Source organism: Homo sapiens, chromosome 5 (genome assembly GCF_000001405.40).
Source record: "Homo sapiens chromosome 5, GRCh38.p14 Primary Assembly".
Classification (NCBI taxonomy): Eukaryota; Metazoa; Chordata; class Mammalia; order Primates; family Hominidae; genus Homo; species Homo sapiens.
Genome location: NC_000005.10, coordinates 79,627,138 through 79,647,777, shown reverse-complemented (window position 1 = coordinate 79,647,777; position 20,640 = coordinate 79,627,138). Strand labels below are relative to the sequence as shown.

The window sequence follows — 20,640 nt, the reverse complement described above, 5'->3', positions numbered from 1 at the left end:
TAAGGATTACTTTATGTAAGTCAGTTCTACTCATACCTATGCGAGATCCCAACTTCTAAATACTAATTTTTTCTGTGAAAAGACTGTCTAAAATAAAAACAAAATATTTCTATATTAATTATAGCTTTTAAGTATAAAATTTGAAATCTACCATTTCAGTCTTTCTTATTTGGTGGAACAAAAGAAAATCTTACAATCTTTCCATTATCCATGCATATTAATAAAAATGGATAGTAGTATTAACACTTCAGATATTATACGTTATTTGGCTTTGGGAAACTTACAGTAATAATAGAGTTATTCTTTGTGTTTGTGTAATTCTAACACTGAAGCCAATTTGTACTACATCCACATAGTAACTCAATAGAAAAGAAAAACACATAGATGGCAACTAGTCTGCAGTTAAAAATTTTTCCAAAATTGAATTCAGGGCTTTAAAAATATCCACAGTTCCTGCTTCAAACACTACTTCTAGAAATACTAAAAAAGTGATCCTCAATATGGAAAGCATTTATGCACAAAATACTTATTTATATTATCTAAAAACCAGAAACACACCAAATGTTCAAATACAGGAGAATGGTTAAGTTAATGACAATTTATTCACTCAATGAAATACTATAAAGCCATTAAAAATGATGCTGTAGAACACTATTTAATGATATAACCAAATATTCATGAGATATGGTTCTGTTGGGAAGCAGGATTTGGCCAGGTGCAGCGGCACACTCCTGTAATTCCAGAACTTTGGGAGGCTAAGGTAGAAGGATTGCTTGAGGCCAGGGGTTCGAGACTAGGCTGGGCAACATGGCGAGACCCTGTCTCTACCAAAAATACAAAAATTAACCAAGTGTGTTGGTGTGTGCCTGTTGTCCTACCTACTCAGTAGGCTGAGATGGGAGGATCACTTGAGTCCAGGCATTTGAGGTTACAGTGAGCTATGATCATGCCACTGCACTCCAGCCTGGGCAACATGGTAAAACCCTGTCTCTTAAAAAAAAAAAAAAAGCTTAGGAACAAAAAAAGTTTGCAGGATGATCTTAAATAGAAAAAGAATAAAACTACCTTTGTAACTATAACTACAACCATATATTATTAAAAACTTATAATTAGCTAATATTATAACTTTATGTTTTATCTCCCTATATATTTTATATCTGCTTTAGGAAAATCTGACACAATTTACTTGGCAGAAATTTAATAAGTATTTATAGATCTGATTGATGTTTAGATATATAAAGGAATGGCTTGAGCCAGGCATTAAAGTTTGTTTAAAATATATATATTCAGTCATCATTCATAGTAGCTACGTTCTATAAAGTTGCTGCAAACACTGAATTAGTGAATACTATACCATTGCTCCTAGGGTAAGCACAGGGTTAGGTATCTGCCAGCCTGGTCACATTTTCATAAACTCATCAATACATAACCAAGTTTTATGTTGTGCTTCTATTTGAAGACATTGTATTTAATATATACGGTTGATTCATTAACAGTGGACTCATGGCCAAGAGTACTATAACTCATGCCTGAGCGAAGCCTACCTAACACATATTTTCTCCATAGGGCACCATCACAGCCTTCTTGCACTTGGGGACACTAGAAAGTAACTCCACACTATGCTTGGGGGCCATTCTAAATAGCAAAAAAGCACAAAAATGTGAAAAATATGGCATTAATTAGACTGTGAGAAGGTTATTTGTTTACAGTATGAAGCTGAACAAGAAGACAGTGTGTCACCTAATTCTATCTCAGCTGGAAACATGGTATTGGGTGATCTGAAATTTTCATTACTCTGTGTATGTCCACGAAATGACCACAAAAGCGTATGAATATTCATGTAGGCAGTTACAAATAACTTTTAGCAAGTAGGCAAATTCGTGAAAACACAAACTATGAATGATAAGGATCAACAATGTGTGTGTGTGTGTGTTTGTGGGCACAATTTCAGTATTAATTTTGTAAAACTGGACAAATTTTATGAAATCTGTCACAATTCTATTTTTAGAAAACAGTAACAAATCAGTTTAACTAATGAAATAATCAACATCTATTTACAAAACAATTCCAATGCCCATAAGACATTCAGAACCCAAGCTGGTAGAATATATAAATGTAAATTTTGAAATGGAACAAGTATATTTTGCTGTTTTCCTTTCATATCTATTACTCTAGGTATTATATGTATCTTTCATAAAAATGAAACACAACTTGTTTAATCATAACTGTATTTAAAACAAACCCCTTGATATTAGTACATGTCAAATTTCATTAATTATATTCTTCAGAATGCATTACACTTCCAAAAGGCAAGAGATCATTTAAAAATCTAAAATACAAATATGTACTCTTTAAATTAGATAGTCTCACATATTCAAAATGTCAAGCAGAATAGCTAAGTACAGTTAAGCATAAAGTATTGCTCAATTTTAAAAAACCATTTCAAACACCAAGTCAAATGATTTCTAAAAACTGATTAAAATAAACTGTAATGCTACAACATACACTTCTTAATTATCTTTATCAGATGAGTATCTAAAAATGATCTAAAGGAACTAAAAAAAGAAAGCTCATTAATTATTTACCTGACTTTATCCCTGAACTTCACAATTGGCACTTTTGCTCGAATCAGCTGAGGTCTCTCAATGTAGCCCGCTGAAAGACAAAAGATAATGTGAATAGCTGCAAATGTTTCTAGAATTCACAGTGTTCCAACGCACATTTTTTAAAAAATAGTATTTACTAAGCTAAAATAATTTAAGAAAACGTCTTTGAAAAAGAATACAAGTGAGGACATTATCAAATTCTTCTAAGGTTGGAGGCTCCAGTAATACCATTTAGGGGGCTTTATATTAAGGTTATTTTCAGGAATGTGATCTAATATAGTATCTATAGAGAAGTTCATTAGACCACTGTAAGAGTGAAAATATATCTAGGCTAGCAGCAGAGGGAATAGCTAATTTTGGTACAGCACACAGTAAGGTATCATGGTAACTGTAGAAATCATAATTACAGAGTCTTATGTGTGGAAATGCTTTGCAACATGATACACGGGGCTTGGATGCATTCGATAAGTGTGATCTCTATGAGTGAAAAATACATATATTATATACATGATCTCTACAAGTGAAAAATTCAGATCAGCTTAGTGAACACCAATTATTGTGCTATTATACAAAGGAGTATGAGTTGATAGGAAATTCAAATACACATACAGATATGTATTACATACATACATATATCATATACAACATATAATAAAATGTACATACATATTTTTATTCCATCAAACTAAAAAATTAGAGTTGAAAGTAATATATACTTATCATAGAAAATTAGGAAAATACAGAAGTGTGTAAAAATGAAATTCTGAAAATCTTTCCCAAATGAGCAATTTTCTCATTTTTTAACTACAGAAAAAGTAGTACCGGGATTTTTTAAAACCTGAAAATTTTCTGTTACAATGTTTTACCATCAAAATTACAGAATATATATCAGCTGGGCTTGGTGGTTCACACCTGTAATCCTAGCACTTTGGGAGGCCAAGGTGGATGTATCACTTGAGGCCAGGAGTTCAAGACCAGCCTGGCCAACATGGCGAAACCCTGTCTCTACTAAAAATACAAAAATTAGCCAGGTGAGGTGGCACACACCTGTAATCCCAGTTAATCAGGAGGCTGAGGCATGAGAATCGCTTAAACCAGGGAGGTGGAGGTTGCAGTGACCTGTGATCATGCTACTGCACTCCAGCCTCGTGATAGAGCGAGACTCTGTCTCAAAAAAAAAAAAAAGAATATATCAAGCTTCAAAATAGAACTTATGAGCAGGAATTCAGAAAAATAAAATTAGGAGTTAAAAGTTTTGAGTAATAAGTACAGGTTCTGAGACCAACAAACTATACTCCAGGCAAGTTACTAAATCCATTGATCACCAGTTTCCTTAACTATTAAAAATAACCAAAAGAAAAAGAAAAAAAAATTCATGTGAATTACATGATCTTTAAGGGCCCTTCCATTTTTAATATTTTGATTCAAATAGCTATTAAAAATTCAAGTAGGTATGAATTATTCTTTATTTTACAGAATAATTCAGAATGCAGAAGGTCCACTGAAATAAATCATTTATTTCTCTCCTAGAACAGATGTAAGTTATTCAAAGACAGTGACTTGTTACTTGACTTGTACTTTCCAGCTCAAAGCCTGGCACATAATGAATGTCTGTTCAACAAATGGACAAGTGTCTTTCCAATATCACACAGTGTAACTTCAACTTTCTATAAAATTCTATGGAAGTTTAAAAGAAATTATTTGAGATGGCTTAACATGTGGATTAAAATATGTTTAGAGTCAGTGTATTCAAAAAGTAAAATCGTAAAATAAAATGGCTTAAGTCAACAATTAGCTTTCTGTTGAAGTAATACATTTAGGTCTCATGTTCAGTGATGATATTTTTAAAACAAGTAAAGATGCATATCATTGCAAGCCAGATGAAATTCTCTCTCACACATATAAAGTCCTATAGGGCTTTTAGCTTTTCACAGATACTCTGTATTACAACTATTTATATTCATGCTTTAATTTCCCTAACAACCTATAAACTTTTGAGAAAAAGAACTAAAACTTACATATCTTTGAATCCCCCCCACTGCAGCAGGTGGTATATTTTGCAGTAAGTGCAATAAAGATATGTTGAATAAATGATCACTCTTCTTTTTCATCAAAAGTTAAAAGAAATTCATTTGGAAAAAAGAATTCATATTATACTGATCCTGACCAGAATAAACAGTTCTTACCAGAAGATAATGTAAGAGGCATTTTAAGTAAAGTTACGTCAGGTGACATACAAACTTGAGGCATGTCAGACTTACAAAGTCTAGTACAGAAGTGTTTATGGACTAAGGTGAGTATATGCCGTGCTTCAGTCTTCTGATTTACCTGAAAAAAACACTGAAAAGTTAAAAATAAAGTGTTTTTTCATTATCTTTCTAAGTTTAATGTTTCATTTTCCTAAAGTATCTCAACAAAAAGAAAACATACAAGATATACTTTCCTTTGGAGTTATTTTTCAATATACTCAAAGTATATTCAATTTATTTTTCTAAATAACAGAAAAAGTCAACCTTTAATGCTATCTTTCACATCTACATTTCTAAATCAATTCCTGATTTTAAGCTTAAAGCACAATTTTCAAAGAAATTCTGAAATAGCCATCTATGTCATTTTCCCCTTCAGCATAAATGTACAAAAAGCAACCTCCAACAAAAATAAACAGAATTTTAGCCCTATTTAGATTTTAAGCTGCTCAAGGATAGTTTCATATCTATGGTGCCTCAGTTTGTGTAAAAGCTATGACATCATGATTTAGATATGTGAATAACACTAGAGGATGAGTGGGATGTGCTTGAGTATAATCTAGCAGCACGAAAAAGTTTTAATTACAACCCTTGTACTCTCCACTGTTTATAATGTGAGTTTTTTTAAACTTTCTCTTTATATGATTTCAAAGCCTAGAAAAATATCATTCTTCCTGGAATAAATCTCTTTCTGACTTGCAGTAACTAGAAGTCATTTTCGCTAGTGGAATAATATGAATAGTAAAAATATACATTAACACTCAATAATTTTTTGTATTTTTAAAGATGTAAAACATAATAAGGCATATTAAAATTACACTGAGCTTAATTAATCATTGGTAGTTCAGAAGAAACCTCAGCATCTTAAAAAGGCTGCCTCAAGTCAGCTTAATGAATACCAATTACTACAGTATTATACACAGGAGTATCAGTTAACAGGAAATTCAGGTAAACATACTACAGGTTGAGCATCCCTAATCCAAAAACCTGAAATCCAAAATCTGAAACTTTCTGAGTGCTGACATGATACTCAAAGGAAATGTTCATTGGAGCATTTCAGATTTGCATCAGGGATGTTCAAATGTTAAGTATAATGCAAGTATTCAAAAAAAAAAATCTACAATCCAAAAAACTCTAGTCCCAAGCATTTTAGATAATGAATACTCAACCTGTACTAAATTAACACAATATTGTTGCTAAAGAAAAAGAAAAAAAAACAAAGGCAAAATGTCATTCATAGAGAAAAATATTTTAAATTTAATAAACACGAGTCTTATTTTAAATTTTAGTGAAATCTATTTTCCCTTAATAAGCATTTTCAAAGAGAAAAAAAGTAAAGATTAAAAATAGAATCAGTGAGAATTCAAATGGAAAGGAAATACATCAAGAAGATAATATTGCCACATACTCTTCTTTGCTGCATCCTGGTAACATATCCAAACTAATGACATTTCAAAACAGAGGTAGAGCTCTTGAAAAAAAAAAAAACACATAGTGAAGCCATCTCACTTTAAAAACTTAGAATTAAATTAATGCTATACTTCCTATTATGCTTATTGTGCACATGCCTTAAAAATAAAAAATTACCTAGGTTTCCTGCAATTATGGTAAACAAAATTCAAAGAAGTAATCACAACAAAGCAAGTTTTTTCCCTCAATGACTTTTATGTAAAATTTCTTAACTCATTAACATGAGAAACACACTTGGAATAAATGTTTCCTTACTTACTGGTTCTTCCTTAACAACTAGGCATAAATCACCATCACTGCTCCGGGTACCAAATCCATTTAAAGAGGACCCAACCAAAAAAAGTCTGCTTTCTAAAGAAACAGAAGAAAGTAATAAGAGTATTTAAAATCTAAAGTAGGTGCATGGTTCTGTGCCTATTAAAAAAAAAAAAGATAAAATTTAAAATAGGAATGCATATACCTAAAGGACATGCAAAATAGGGAAACATACGTGGAAATAACAGCTGAATTTCTCTCTGCAGCTGTGTTCGACAGAGTTCTTTCTTCTTTAAATCACTTATTTGCTGCTGACATGTTTCAAATAACTCCAGTATCTGCTGACTCAACTTGAATCCACCGCAAAAAAAAGTAAAAGTTTTGTTCAGCAATGTAAAAGTAATTGCTATATGGAGAAGCATAAATCAATTATACTGACACTATTTTAAAAGGGAGTATGTATTATCTTCTTAATATTTCCCAAAACAAAGCTACTATTACTCAAGTACAGGAAGAGAATGGTCTGAAAAACCACACATAAATTTTACAAAGTAAAATATACAAGTCACAGAAAAGTACAGTCACAGATACTTCGTAATAAAAATAATCCATGGGTCAGCAAACTGTTTAACACTTGCTCACTTTATTAGTATGGCCCCTGAGAAAAGAATTTTTTTATATTTTTAAAGGATTATGAAAACAAACAAATAAAAATATGCAACAAACAATATGTGAGTGGCAAAGCCTGAAGTATTTACTATCTGGCTTTTTAAAGAAGTTTGCCCAATCCCTAGTATTCACACCCACAAATACCAAATATAAGAGATGTCACCAGTCCCCGGTCTTCCAGGCTCATGCAAACCACCCTCCATCCCATTCTTCTAACAATGCCCTAAACCCTAACTTCATGTTGCCATCGACTTACCACCTTTTTTTTTTTTTTTTGAGACGGAGTCTTACTCTGTCACCTAGGCTGGAATGCAGTGGTGCGATCTCGGCTCACTGCAACCTCAGCCTCCTGGGTTCAAGCGGTTCTCCTGCCTCAGCGTCCCAAGTAGCTGAGAATACAGGCATGTGCCACCACACCCAGCTAATTTTTCAATCTTTGTAGAGACAGGGTTTTGCCATGCTGCCCAGGCTGCTCTCGAACCCCTGACCTCAAGTGATCTGCCTGCCTCAGCCTCCCAAAGTGCTGGGATTACAGGTGTGAGCCATCACACCCGGCCCTACCACCCTTTTATCTACTGATCTGGTTCACACTTTTCCCTCCAGCCCAACTCTTGCCATCAACATAGGTGATTTCCCTATCTGAAATGGGCTACATATCACAACATACTCCCTTTCCGGACTTTTATTTCCTCCAGTATTCTTCATCAGTATACACTCCTATAATGTGGTCTTTACAATAAACTGGAACTGCTCTAGCTCTGAAATTTTAAATTCCAATATAATATCTTGGCTTCAATCTTCTATCCAGTTCACACTTTCTCACTCTCCTCATACCTGCTCTAGAACCACAAGAGATCTAGATTCCCTTGAATCCTCCATTTTCTCCCAAGCCATCAGCATAAAAATGGTGTTATTTCTTTCCCTATGCAGTCTATACTACACAGTGCATCCCTTGAACCACTCTCTTATCGTGCCTCAACAACATTATCTCCTTGTCATGTTCTAATACTTGTCCTACAAAACCCTAATCTTAGGTCAATATAAAAAAAAAAAACCACCTTCACTGCTCTTACATCTAAGTTGCTAAGAAACAAAACTGAAAAAAAAATTAAAAATCATAAAATTGGAGTATTTCAAGTTTATAGTCTTAGGTTGGCCCTTAGCATCACTTAGCAATTACTTCCAAGTCTTTGGTTAGATATCACTTCTGTTTTTCATACCATTCCAAAATGTTTACTACCTTTTTCAAGCCCTCTAAACTTATCTCCCTTTCTCTAGCAAATACAGTTAAATTAAAGTTTACTAAGAAAATTGAGAATACCAAATGTGATATTCCTCAGCCTCTTAACCACAGACCTAAAAATGAACATATCTGGGGAAAAAAAAAAAGGCGTCCTTTTCCCCTGTTCAAAGCTAATCTCTCTACCAATAATTTTGTATTCAAGCCTTCTGGTCACCTTAAGGGCACAAACACGTCTACCAGTATTTCAGTCCTGCTCCTGTATTTTTAATCTCTCCCTCTCTAGGACTGCCTTATAGTCCATAATGAGGCAAAAGTATCACCCATCACGTAAAATGTTGTCTTTCACATATTTAGAATCCTCATTTTAAGAAGGCAGAGGCATTCTGGGCAATTTGGCAATGAAAGAAGCATAACATTTTTTTAAATCTCTGAATACTCACCCCACAAAAGACAGAGCAACTAGGAGAATAAATCAAAGAGATCAAACCAAACCAAAATGTGGCCACAAAATAAAACACAATTGACTGACCGGGTATTCATCATGAATACTCAGGAGTGGGACAAATACCAACAGCAGCAAGATTCACATGGTATCAGACACAATAAAAAAGGGAATGGGATTTGAAACAGTCTTAAAAGCAGAACATGCAGAAATCAAATTGCTTATAGGTAATACCTTCTCCCCCTCACTCACCAAATTCAGCAGCCCACATCAATGTACCACAACCAAAATAGGCAAGCAGCTTCATAGGCTACAATTCATAGGTAAATGCAAGGGGACCACAGAAAGATCAGAGACCTCCAAACAAAATGAGGTTCCCTTCCAAGAAAAAGCAACAGCAGAAACTGCCAGGAAGAGAAACCTAAACTGCACAGTACAGAGCCATCAGGAGAAAAGGAAAGGTGTAAAATGATTCTGACTCTCAGTGGACATATGAATATGAAAACATTTTTTATTATAACAGGACCAGGCAGGGCAGGTGAAAGGTCCCTGGCATCTAGTAGGTAGACGCCAGGATGTCACCGAACATCCTACAATGCAGAGGACAACTCTACCACAGCAAAGATTATCTGGCCCAAAATGCCAATAGTACAGAGGGTAAAAAATTCTACTCTAGATAAAAGTGGGAAAGGAAAAAAGCAAAGGCACTAAGGAAGTATATTTCTGAATACTATGTAAGAACAGAAGAAGGCTGGGCGTGGTGGCTCATGCCTGTAATCCCAGCACTTTGGGAGGCCAATGCAGGCAGATCACGAGGTCAAGAGATCAAGACCATCCTGGACAACATGGTGAAATCCCATCTCTAATAAAAATACAAAAAAATTAGCCGGGAACAGTGGCACGTGCCTGTAGTCCCAGCTATTTGGGAGGCTGAGGCAAGAGAATCACCTGAACCCGGAAGGCAGAGGTTGCAGTGAGCTGAGATCATGCCACTGCACTCTAGCCTGGGTGACAAAATGCGACTCCGTCACAAAAAAAAAAAAAAAAAGCAAAAGAGGAGAAGTCCTAGAGCCACAAAGCTAGCCTGCTCAACCCTCTCCACATAAAAGTAGCACACGGCTGGGCATGGTAGCTGAGCACACCAATAATCCCAGCACTTTGGGAGGCCAAGGCAGGTGCATTGCTTAAGCCCAGGAATCCGAGACAAGCCTTGGTAACATGGCAAAACCTCCCTTCTACAAAAAATTTAAAAATTAGCTGGACATGGTGATGCGTGCCTGTCGTCTCAGCTACTAGGGAGGCTGAAGCAGGAGGATCGCTTGAGCCTGGGAGGTCGAGGTTGCAGTGAGCCATGATCACACCACTGTACTCCAGCCTGGGCAACAGAGGGAGACCTTGTCTCAAAAACACTGAAATAAAATAAAATGAAAGTAGTACAGAAAAAGCCATCTCAAAGACAAATAACAGGAGGAAAGAAATGGAATCTCGAAAGAGGTAAGCATGGGAAAGGACAGAAAAAAAATTGAAGAAATAACGCCTGAAAGTATTCTAATCAATTCCCATACAAAGTATTTGTAAGAAAAATGAGAATAAACTGAGCAACAATTTTTTTTTTTTGATACATGGTCTCACTGTGTTCCCAGACTAGAGTGCAATGTCGCAATCACAGCTCACTGCTGTCTTGACCTCCTGTCAAGCAATCCTCCCATCTCAGCCCTGCAAGTAGCTGGGACTAAAGGTGTGCAGCACCACATCTGGTTAATTTTTTTTTCTTGAGAGATAGTTTCTCACTATTTTGCCCAGGCTGCAGGGTAACATTTCTACAGACAATAAAGCACACCAGAAGAATGTGTAAACAAAACTAATATTTTTAACATAATATAAAAAACCAAGGCCTTTTCTCTCATGTTTTAATTTTCTAAAAAGATAATTCACTACTTAAAGCATACATACTATCAACAAACAATTAAAAATTTACTTTTTAAGAACTTCACAATAGCAGCAAAAAGCATGAAATATTTAGAAATCTATGTACCAAGAGATGTGCAGGATTTGTATACTGAAAACTAGAAAATATTGAGAGAACCTAAAGACCTAAATAAAGGGAGAGATACACCACATTCATGGATCAAAAGACTATTGTCAAGGATGTCAATTCTCCCAGAATTGACCTTTAGATTCAATGCAATCAAAATCAAAAGCCCATCTGATATTTGTTTCACAAGAAATGAAAAAGAAATCAAAAGCCCAGAAGGCTTCTTTCTAGAAACTGACAGAAGAATTTTAAATTTGACTTAGGCAAAAGTCCAAGAATAGCTGAGAAAAAAATTGGGGAATTTAACCTACCTGACTTCTATACTTAATATAACACTACAGTAATCAAGATAGTATGGCCCTGGCAGAAGGATAAACAAAAAAGATCAACTGAATATCAGAATACTGAAATATTTACAAATAAAATAACTGCAATCTGATTCAAACTAATGAGGGAGGGAGGTAAAGGTGAAATAAGATTAGTCATATGTTGTTAATTGTTATGGTCATATGTTGGCAATTGTTAAAGTGGGCAACATAAGGATTTATGATACGTTTTTCTCTCTAGTATATGGTTTGATATTTTCCATAATAAAAAGCTAAAAAGAAAAGTGTCCAAGTTTGTAACAAATGTGAAAAAGATCTCCAGTAAAAGTGGCTAACATAAAATTTTACATGATACTTGAAGGATTAAGTTTTACTGACCTAGAGCAGGGTTGGCGAACTATTTAGGCCAAGTATAGGCAGCAAGCTAAATAATTTCTACTTTTAGTCATTGTTAAAAAGAAAAGAAAAAAGAATATGCAACAGAGGACCTACATAGCCCACGTGCCTAAATATTTACTATCTGGCCCTTCTGCCAACCCCTGATGTAGAGAATCAGGCAGATCAGATCAACATAATCCTAGAATTCACCGTAGGTACTCAGTATTTGTTGAATAGCAAAATAAATTTCTTGGCTGGGCAAGGTAGCTCACGCCTGTAATCCTAGCACTTTGGGAGGCCAAGGTGGGCGGACTGCCGGAGCTCAGGAGTTCAAGACCAGCCTGAGCAACAACGGTTAAACCCTGTCTCTACTAAAATACAAAAAATTAGCCAGGTGTGGTGGCATGCACCTGTAGTCTCAGCTACTCCGGAGGCTGAGGCAGGAGAATCGCTTGAACCCTGGAGGCAGAGGTTGCAATGAGCCGAGATCGCGCAACTGCACTCCAGCCTGGGCAACAGAGCAAGACTCTGTCTCCAAAAAAAAAATTCCTTCACAATGCCCAAGTGAAATGTTATTATATTTATAAAGTTCTTTCATCTGAATGACCTTGTTAATGTAGAAACAGTCACATGTTAAAAAATTTACAATGACTGGAAAATATGAAATTCCATATTCTTGTTCCTCTCCATTTTTTACATGCATGGAAACACTTTTTCTTTCCCAAGGACTACTATAATGGAGATTTAATGAGTTTTTATGTGAAAGAATTTTCGTCATTATCTACCCATTAACTTGGGGATTCACATTATCAAATCATATTACTTTACCCTAGAACAAACATTGAGAGTTCAGATGAGACAAAAAGAGAAATGCACATATATGTTGAAACAACATTTCTGGTGCTTTAATTTAGAGAAATATTCCAGGAGATGGCTCACTGTTGTTATAGTTCTTAAAAAAATAGAGAGGAGGAATGTATAATATGAAATATCCTTGGCTAAAAATCATATACGATTTAGATCATATATGTAATAACAAGCTGACCATGCATAATGGCACTCCAAAAATATTCTTTAATTCTGGGGTAAATTTTTCCTAATTTTTAGTTTAAAAAAACTATTCCAAGCCAGGTACAGTGGCAAATGCCGGTAGTATCAGCTACTGAGGAGGCTGAGGCAGCAACATAGCTTGAGCCCAGGAGTTCAAGAATAGCCTGGGTAACTTAGTAAGACCCCATCTCAAAAAAAAAAAAATCCCTCCAACAACATATATATAAAGTGGATTATTCTTAAACTTGTCTAAATCACTACAATATTATCTGCTTAGGCTACCTACCAAGATCTATCATTATAAAATTAACTGCTTAGGCTATCTACCAAGATCTATCACTATAAAATTAATTAGTCTATTTCTCACTACACAAAAAATTTACTTATACGTAGCCTAAAATATTAAAATAAATATTTCTGGCCAGGCGCAGTGGCTCACATCTGAAATCCCAGCACTCTGGGAGGCCAAGGCGGGCAGATCACTTGAGGTCAGGAGTTCGAGACCAGCCTGACCAAGATGATGAAACCCCATCTCTACTAAAAATACAAAAAAATCAGCCAGTCATGGTGACAGGTGCCTGTAGTCCAAGCTACTTGAGAGGCTGAGGCCGGAGAATCACTTGAACCTGGGAGGCAGAGGTTGCAGTGAGTCAAGACCACACCACTGCACTCTAGCCTGGGCAACAGAGCAAGACTCCATCTCAAAAAATAAAATAAATAAATAAAAATAAATATTTCTTCCAAATGTGAATGTTCATTTTTCCTAAAAAATATTGTAACTTGTCCTCAAAGTCAAGGTCAAATTAAATACCAATAAAATTGCCATTGTCTGAAGTCAACACAAGCCATAAGGACACGTGAAGTGCTGGCTGGGATTCAGAAAGTTTTTTTTTTTTTTTTTTTGAGACGGAGTCTCACTCTGTTGCCCAGGCTGGAGTGCAGTGGCACGATTCGGCTCACTGCAAGCTCCGCCTTCCAGGTTCATGCCATTCTCCCGAGTAGCTGGGACTATAGGCGTCCGCCACCAGGTCCAGCTAATTTTTTTTTTTTTTTTTTTTTTGTATTTTTAGTAGAGACGGGGTTTCACCATGTTAGCCAGGATGGTCTCGATCTCCTGACCTCGTGATCTGCCCGCCTCGGCCTCCCAAAGTGCTGGGATTACAGGCGTGAGCCACTGCACCCAGCCCCAGAAAAGTTTTTATATGTACCAATATATAAAGCTCTCACATGGTATTTAACACTGTATAACCTTCACATGGTATACTCAGCAGTTCACCACCTGTCCCTGATAGCTGGGCCCTTGAGTAAAAGAAAGTGGAAAAAAAAAAAAAAAAAACTTTTTAGCCTGGCACAGTGGCTCATGCCTGTAATTCCAGCACTTTGGGAGACTAAGGTGGGTGGATCACCTGAGGTTGGCAGTTCGAGACCAGCCTGACCAACATGGAGAAACCCCGTCTCTACTAAAAACACAAAATTAGCCGGGCATGGTGGCGCATGCCTGTAATCCCAGAACCGTTTGAACCCAGGAGACGGAGATTGCAGTGAGCTGAGATCAAGCCATTGCACTCCAGCCTGGGCAACAAGAGCGAAACTCTGTCTCAAAAAAAAAAAAAAAAAAAAAAAAACTTTTTAGCTGGAAATACCGAGACCTAATCATATACTACAATGTAAATTTTTTTTGCCTAAGTGCTATCTACAAACACAATCAGCAATGAGCTTTCAAAATGGGAGAAATAAAATTAAACTATGGTCCAGAAAACAGGTCATTATAGCATATAAACATTGCAATAAAAACTGGCAATTTCTCAGGCTCTCTCATTGCCTTAATCTTTGTTACGTGTAGCTATAGAAAGAGCTGGTATTAATTTTCTGAGGAAAATAAAGCCAGATGTGTAATAAAAGTTTAAATTCATTCTTCACAGTCAATTCCCTTTCCCATCAAATTAAACAATTCTGAAACAAAATAGAACTAGAAAAATGTCATGCCTAAAACAACCCACTTCTTGTGTGTTAAATTACTATGTTTTTGTGTAAGGACAAAGTTGGAGTATTCTTAATTTATAAACTGGTGGGTTGAGAAGGCAGTTTGGATTACTGATTGTTTTCCCCCTGAAGTCTGATTACTTTAGGCGCCTACTATTACCTGAACTTGGCCAAAGAATTGCCCAAAAAAGAAAGATAGGAAAAAAACAAGTTTTTATTTGATCTCTTTTGTCTGAGTTCTCTCTTAGGTGTTCTATGTAAATTTATATCTCAGTGGTTTTTGAATTTTTCTGACAAACACATAAATTAAAAAGACAGAGTCCTTTAGAGATCTGTAAGATAACTATCCCCAAACTGTTCTTCCAAGGATGCCAAGAAGCTCCATAAAATTTGCCCCTTCTCAAATTTAACATTACACAGGGAATTTAACAATTCTTTAATAATTGTCTTTTTATTTTACAATCAATACCAAGAAAAACCTCAGCCTAACCTCATTTCAACTCAAAATTCAAAATCAAATAAGTCAATTCACATAATACCTTCTACTAACCAGAAATTTCAAAGAACAATTTAATACTGTAGATGGAATTCAGGGGCTTAGATAACTGATTACATTCTCATTTTTGTGCAGAAAACCATATATTCTTCTAAAACCTAGAGTAAAAACAAAAGTTAAAATTCAGGAATAACTCAGATTTCTACTTTAAAGAGTTGTTAACACAGTAACTTAAAAAAGACAAAAAAAACTCATGAAAAAATTTAAACTCAGAGGGTATTCATTTTCAAAATTCAATTCTTTATGTTTATCCTCAAAGTAGTTAAAAAAACTTCTAACAAAATCTTTCCCTGGAGCTGGCAGATTCAGCTGACTGACTCACTATTATTATTAATGAATTCATTATTACCAATCTTAAGTGAGCCCTCTATACTACCCAGAAAATGTTTCAAACCTTCTGCACTCTGTTTCTCTGGTCAGTTTGATTCCCTACATTCAGTAAATGGTATTTCAAACATTCTCCACTATTCTCAAACCTCTGATATCCTACTTTATCTTCTCCAGTCTCAACAGATTATCTTGCATAGTAATTGAGAGAGAAAACGGGAAGATGCCATTCAACTCTGGAAACTCCACTAACTTCTCCCTACCGTATCTACAAATTTCCCTGTATCTATACCTATCCTCTCCTCCTATCAGCCAGTTCAAAAAAGTTTTTCTCTTACCTAAGGCCAATCACTCCACCTATACACAGGACTCATTCCCCTTCCACCTTGTGGGAAACCTTATTCATGATTGTTCTTTTCTTTCCAGAGTGGTCAACCTCTTTCCTCTCTATGAATCTTCCCCACAAACATTTATTTGTGACCAGAGTTTCTCCCACCTTACCAAAAAAAGCCTGTCCTAACTTCACACCTTTTGCTCCTCCCTTTCACTGCCAAATGTCCCAAAACAGTTGTGTATAATCTTAGTTTGCATTTGTTCTCCTATTCTTTCCTCAACCGATTTCAACGAGTCTTGGACATAGACTCTCTTCCTGGGGCTTCAATTACCATCTGTATGCTGATGATGGCCAAATACACATTTCTAGCCAATGAATAACCTCTGAATTCCAGATCTATACACAGTATATTCAACTATCAATGCTAAATATCCACTCTGATGCTTCAAAAGCTTCTTAAAGGCACATGTCCACAGACTCATGAGTCAATCCCTATTAAGCACACATATAAATCTTCCTCCTCTTCCATTCTATTCTGTCTCAGCAAATGAGGCCACCAGCTGTAGAAGCCAGAAACTTGAGTGTAATCCTCAAAACCTTCTTCTCAATCGAACCCAATGGTTTTCAACTAGGGCAATTTTGCCCCAGAGGATGACTGGCAATGTCCATAGGCATTTTGGGCTGTCACAACTGGGGATTGGTGGCAGGAATGCTACTAAATGTAGTAGGGTACACAGGACAGCCCCTCCACACCAAAGTAAGCTGGCCTAAAATGTCGATATTGTAGAGGCTTAGACACTGTAATCTAATATATCATCAAATGTTATGGATTCCACCTCTAAAATACAGCTTAAATCCATCAATTTCTCTTCATCTTAACTACTAGCATTTCCTAATTCAAGTACCATTGCCTCTCACTTGAAATACTACAGTACAACTTCCCTACATCCATGCTTGCTCAACTTCAATCTACTCTCCATAGTGCAGTGAAAATAAACTTTTTAACTCATCTGTCCCCTGCATTAAAAAAAAAAAAAAAACCTGAATAGGTTACTGCTGTTATTAGGCTAAAGATCAAAATGGCCTAATAGTCCTTGCAAAATATGCCCCTCTTCCCATCTCCCCTACCACACCTTCAACCACTTCCCCTCAATTCACCAAACACTAGCCATCTTGACCTCCTTTCAGTTATTTGTACACTCCATTCTCCTTTCTGCATCAACACCCTCAAACATGCTATTTCCTCTCTCTAAAGCAGTCTCCCCATCCCCACTACTTTTTGAGACAGAGTCTCACTCTGTCGCCCAGGCTAGAGTGCAGTGGCGTGGTCTTGGCTCACTGCAACCTCCACCTCCTGGGTTCAAGCAATTCTCTGCCTCAGGCTCCCAAGTAGCTGGGATTACAGGCACCTGCCACGAAGCTAATTTTGTATGTTTAAAAGAGATGGAGTTTTGCCATGTTGGTCTTGAACTCCTGACCTCAGGCGATCCACCCACCTTGGCCTCCCAAAGTGTTGCGATTACAGGCATGAGCCACTGCGCCTGGCTCCCACCACTCTTTAACTAGTTAACTCATTCATCTTTCAGATCTCAACTCAAATACTGCCTCCTCTAAGAGGCTTTCCCTGAGACCTCAAATGCATTCTCTCAGCACTCACTAATTTCCTGCACAGCATTTATATAAATAAAATTGTGATCTGCATTTTTTTAATTTTTGTATTTTTGAGACGGAGTCCTGCTCTGTCACCCAGGCTGGAGTACAGTGACGCGATGTTGGCTCACTGCAACCTCTGCCTCCCAAGTTCAAGCAATTCTCCCGCCTCAGCCTCCCGAGTTGCTGGGACTACGGCACACGCCACCACGCCCAGCTAATTTTTTTGTATTTTTAGTAGAGACGGGGTTTCACCATATTGGTCAGGCTGGTCTCGAACTCCTGACTTCAGGTAATCCACCCGCCTCGGCCTCCCAAAGCGCTGGGATTACAGGCGTGAGCCACTGTGCCCGGCCTATGTATGGTTATTATTTTTTTTTTGAGACAGAGTCTCACTCTGTTGCCCAGGCTGGAGTGCAGTGGCACGATCTCGGCTCACTGCAAGCTCTGCCTCCTGGGTTCACGCCATTCTCCTGCCTCAGCCTCCCAAGTAGCTGGGACTACAGGCACCCGCCACCACGCCTGGCTAATTTTTTGTATTTTTAGTAAAGACGGGGTTTCACGATGTTAGCCAGGATGGTCTCGATCTCCTGACCTCGTGATCCACCCGCCTCGGCCTCCCAAAGTGCTGGGATTACAGGCGTGAGCCACTGTGCCTGGCCTATGTATGGTTATTTTTTAATGGCTCCCCCTCTCACCATGCTGTACCTAAATGGTAGAGACCATGTATGTTTAGCAAAACAGTGTATCTCCCACGCCTAGAGCTCACAAATATTTGAATGCTAAATAAATTAAAAATCTTATCTACTCTAGGGTGTTTCAACTGTCACTTTTGTTTCAGATCTCTTAAGAATCCGTATCTCTAGCCTGACCTCACTTCTGAACTCCAAACATATACTGTCAATACAGTTACATTTTTCTACAATACCAATTAACTTATATGTGATTGGTAAACAGAGGAATGGTATCAATATAACATAGAAGTTGGGTTTGTACGTGATTTGTACATGGAGCTATAACTGTAGAATTATAACTGTCACAACAAAGAAAAAACCCCTCAGTATGGAGTCCTTTCAGATCTAAAGGAACTAAAAGCATTTGCATCCAAGATTTCTGCTCAAGAAAGCATACTCCTAGCCTCAGATAGCCCTGTGCTGGTGTATTTCCTTTTGTCTCTACCTTAACAGCAGCCTCACTGACTCAGAGCTCCATTTTTAACTGCCTGTGTCAATGTCCAACACAAGCCAGCATCTCAACTCTATTTTGTGTATTTCTAATATCCCCTGCAGCAGCATCTAGCCGTGCCAAACTGCCTGCCTATCCAAGTTATTTCCCAAGATATCAATTATTATTTTTGATAGTGTTCTCGTTACAAAATTGTTTAGGTTTTGAGTAGTCTGTTCCAACCCTATTTCTCATAAGCCCTATATGATTAGTGTGCAATTTGCAGAACATGAAGTTTCTGAGGAGCACAAATGTTTTATAGTAGATTCTCTCATAGTTCAAAAAACTCGAGTACTTCCTCAATCAGCCTATACACCCCAAATCTAGGTTCTTTATCTCTACTGGTAACCCAGTATCAAATCACTGAAGTCATTCATGTCTCTTTCACCCTCTCTCTTCTACACTCAGTTATTCCACACATTCTCTAAATTTTCCTTATACATTATCTCCCACATCTTTTTCACTACCATCTACTGTAACTGAAAGCTTCAGCACCTCTCATTAGGATAGCCTTCAAGGGGATCAACCATCTTCAGGGTGAATTTAACAGCCTTCAAGATGATCACCACCTTCCAAGCCCACTTCATTCTAAACCAAACTCACTAAACAGCAAGGACTTTCTAAAAATACAAATCTGACTGTGCTATTTCTCTACTTTAAAACCTTCAACAGCATTCTACTGTGCATTCAAGGCTTCAAACCACTGCCCCACTTTATCTCACACTGAACCCTTCACTCACTTTATACTCTACAGAAGTAAACAGAGGTAAACCAAACAAACTGTCGAGCACAATGCCAGTAATGACAGATACTCAATAAACATTAGCTACCACTGTCACAGATTACCTTGTATTAGAGTTACAATGTCATCTGCCTACCCTTGATTTTAAGTATCTTAACCTCCTTCTCTTCATATTTTTAGAGACAAAGATCAAATCTTGGTTTTACCACTTACTAGCTGTAACCCTGAGCAAGTTATTTAGCTTTCTGAGCCTCAATAACATTAGGATAATATCCATGTCATGGGGTTGCTGAAAAGACTAAATGAGATAGCATATGTAGAATGCCTACAAGAACCATCAATAAACGTTAGCTTTCTTAAAAAATGTTCACTTAAAAAATAAACGCAAAACTGACTGCTTGCCTTCTTTCTCCCACAACTTGGCAGGTAGAGAGTGGCACTCAAAGAAATTGGTTCCAGCCAGGCGTGGTGGATCACACCTATAAACCCAGCATGATGGGAAGCTGAGGCGGGTGGTTCACCTAAGGTCAGGAGTTTGAGACCAGCCTGACCAACATGGTAAAACCCCATCTCTACTAAAAATACAAAATTGGCAGGGCATGGTGGCACATGCCTGTAATCCCAGCTACTTGGGAGGCTGAGGCAGGAGAACTGCTTGAACCCGGGAGATGGAGGTCGCAGTGAGCCATGATTGTGCCATTACACTTGAGCCTGGGCAACAAGAGCAAAACTCTGTCTCAAAAAACGAAAAAAAAGAAATTGGTTCAATTACACAATCTTTAGCCTTCTGAGATAAATCCCTAATTCTAAATATTTAGGAGTATCTCTTTCTACATAACTAATTTTAAAATGTTATCGATACAGAACTGTACTTTACCAGATGGTTTATGCTGACACTAATATGAATTGTTATTAAATTTACTGAAATTGAAAATTTGCCTACTCCATATGCAGAACTAGCAGTTAGTTAGTTCTAACAGTTAACTATCACAACATACAAATACAAGTAAAAATAGAGAGCTTTCAATAGTTTATCATTATAAATTCCATAGAAAACAGGGCTACCAGCATACATACCTTAAAAAAACAGTAAAAGATTTTTTT

General features: G+C 36.9%; 1 protein-coding gene across 82 annotated transcripts in view, besides 2 other annotated features; it reads right to left on the bottom strand.

Moving 5' to 3' along the window:
* The window catches only part of TENT2 (terminal nucleotidyltransferase 2), a 75,806-nt gene that overhangs the window by 40,469 nt on the left and 14,697 nt on the right, over positions 1 to 20,640 (bottom strand). For 27 of the 82 annotated variants that reach the window (NM_001388126.1, NM_001388115.1, NM_001388123.1 and 24 more), the window contains 4 exons: positions 6,813 to 6,927; positions 6,582 to 6,673; positions 4,868 to 4,934; positions 2,586 to 2,655 (listed from right to left, as the gene is read on the bottom strand). The exons of 1 other annotated variant lie outside the window; for it this stretch is intronic. In NM_001388126.1, coding sequence (NP_001375055.1) covers positions 2,586 to 2,655; positions 4,868 to 4,934; positions 6,582 to 6,673; positions 6,813 to 6,927 — 344 coding nt within the window. Of the gene's footprint in view, positions 1 to 2,585; positions 2,656 to 4,792; positions 4,947 to 6,260; positions 6,324 to 6,581; positions 6,674 to 6,782; positions 6,928 to 20,640 lie in introns of all 82 variants that reach the window. 54 more of the 82 variants (XM_047416850.1, NM_001388103.1, XM_047416857.1 and 51 more) reach the window with 6 other exon arrangements.
* Positions 17,297 to 17,796: an enhancer, noted in NCBI's record as "H3K4me1 hESC enhancer chr5:78925805-78926304 (GRCh37/hg19 assembly coordinates)". NCBI's record gives its function as "activates a minimal SCP1, AML or CMV promoter by ChIP-STARR-seq in primed H9 embryonic stem cells {active_cell/tissue: H9 hESC(primed)}" and the evidence as "EXISTENCE:reporter gene assay evidence [ECO:0000049][PMID:30033119]".
* Positions 17,797 to 18,298: an enhancer, noted in NCBI's record as "H3K4me1 hESC enhancer chr5:78925303-78925804 (GRCh37/hg19 assembly coordinates)". NCBI's record gives its function as "activates a minimal SCP1, AML or CMV promoter by ChIP-STARR-seq in primed H9 embryonic stem cells {active_cell/tissue: H9 hESC(primed)}" and the evidence as "EXISTENCE:reporter gene assay evidence [ECO:0000049][PMID:30033119]".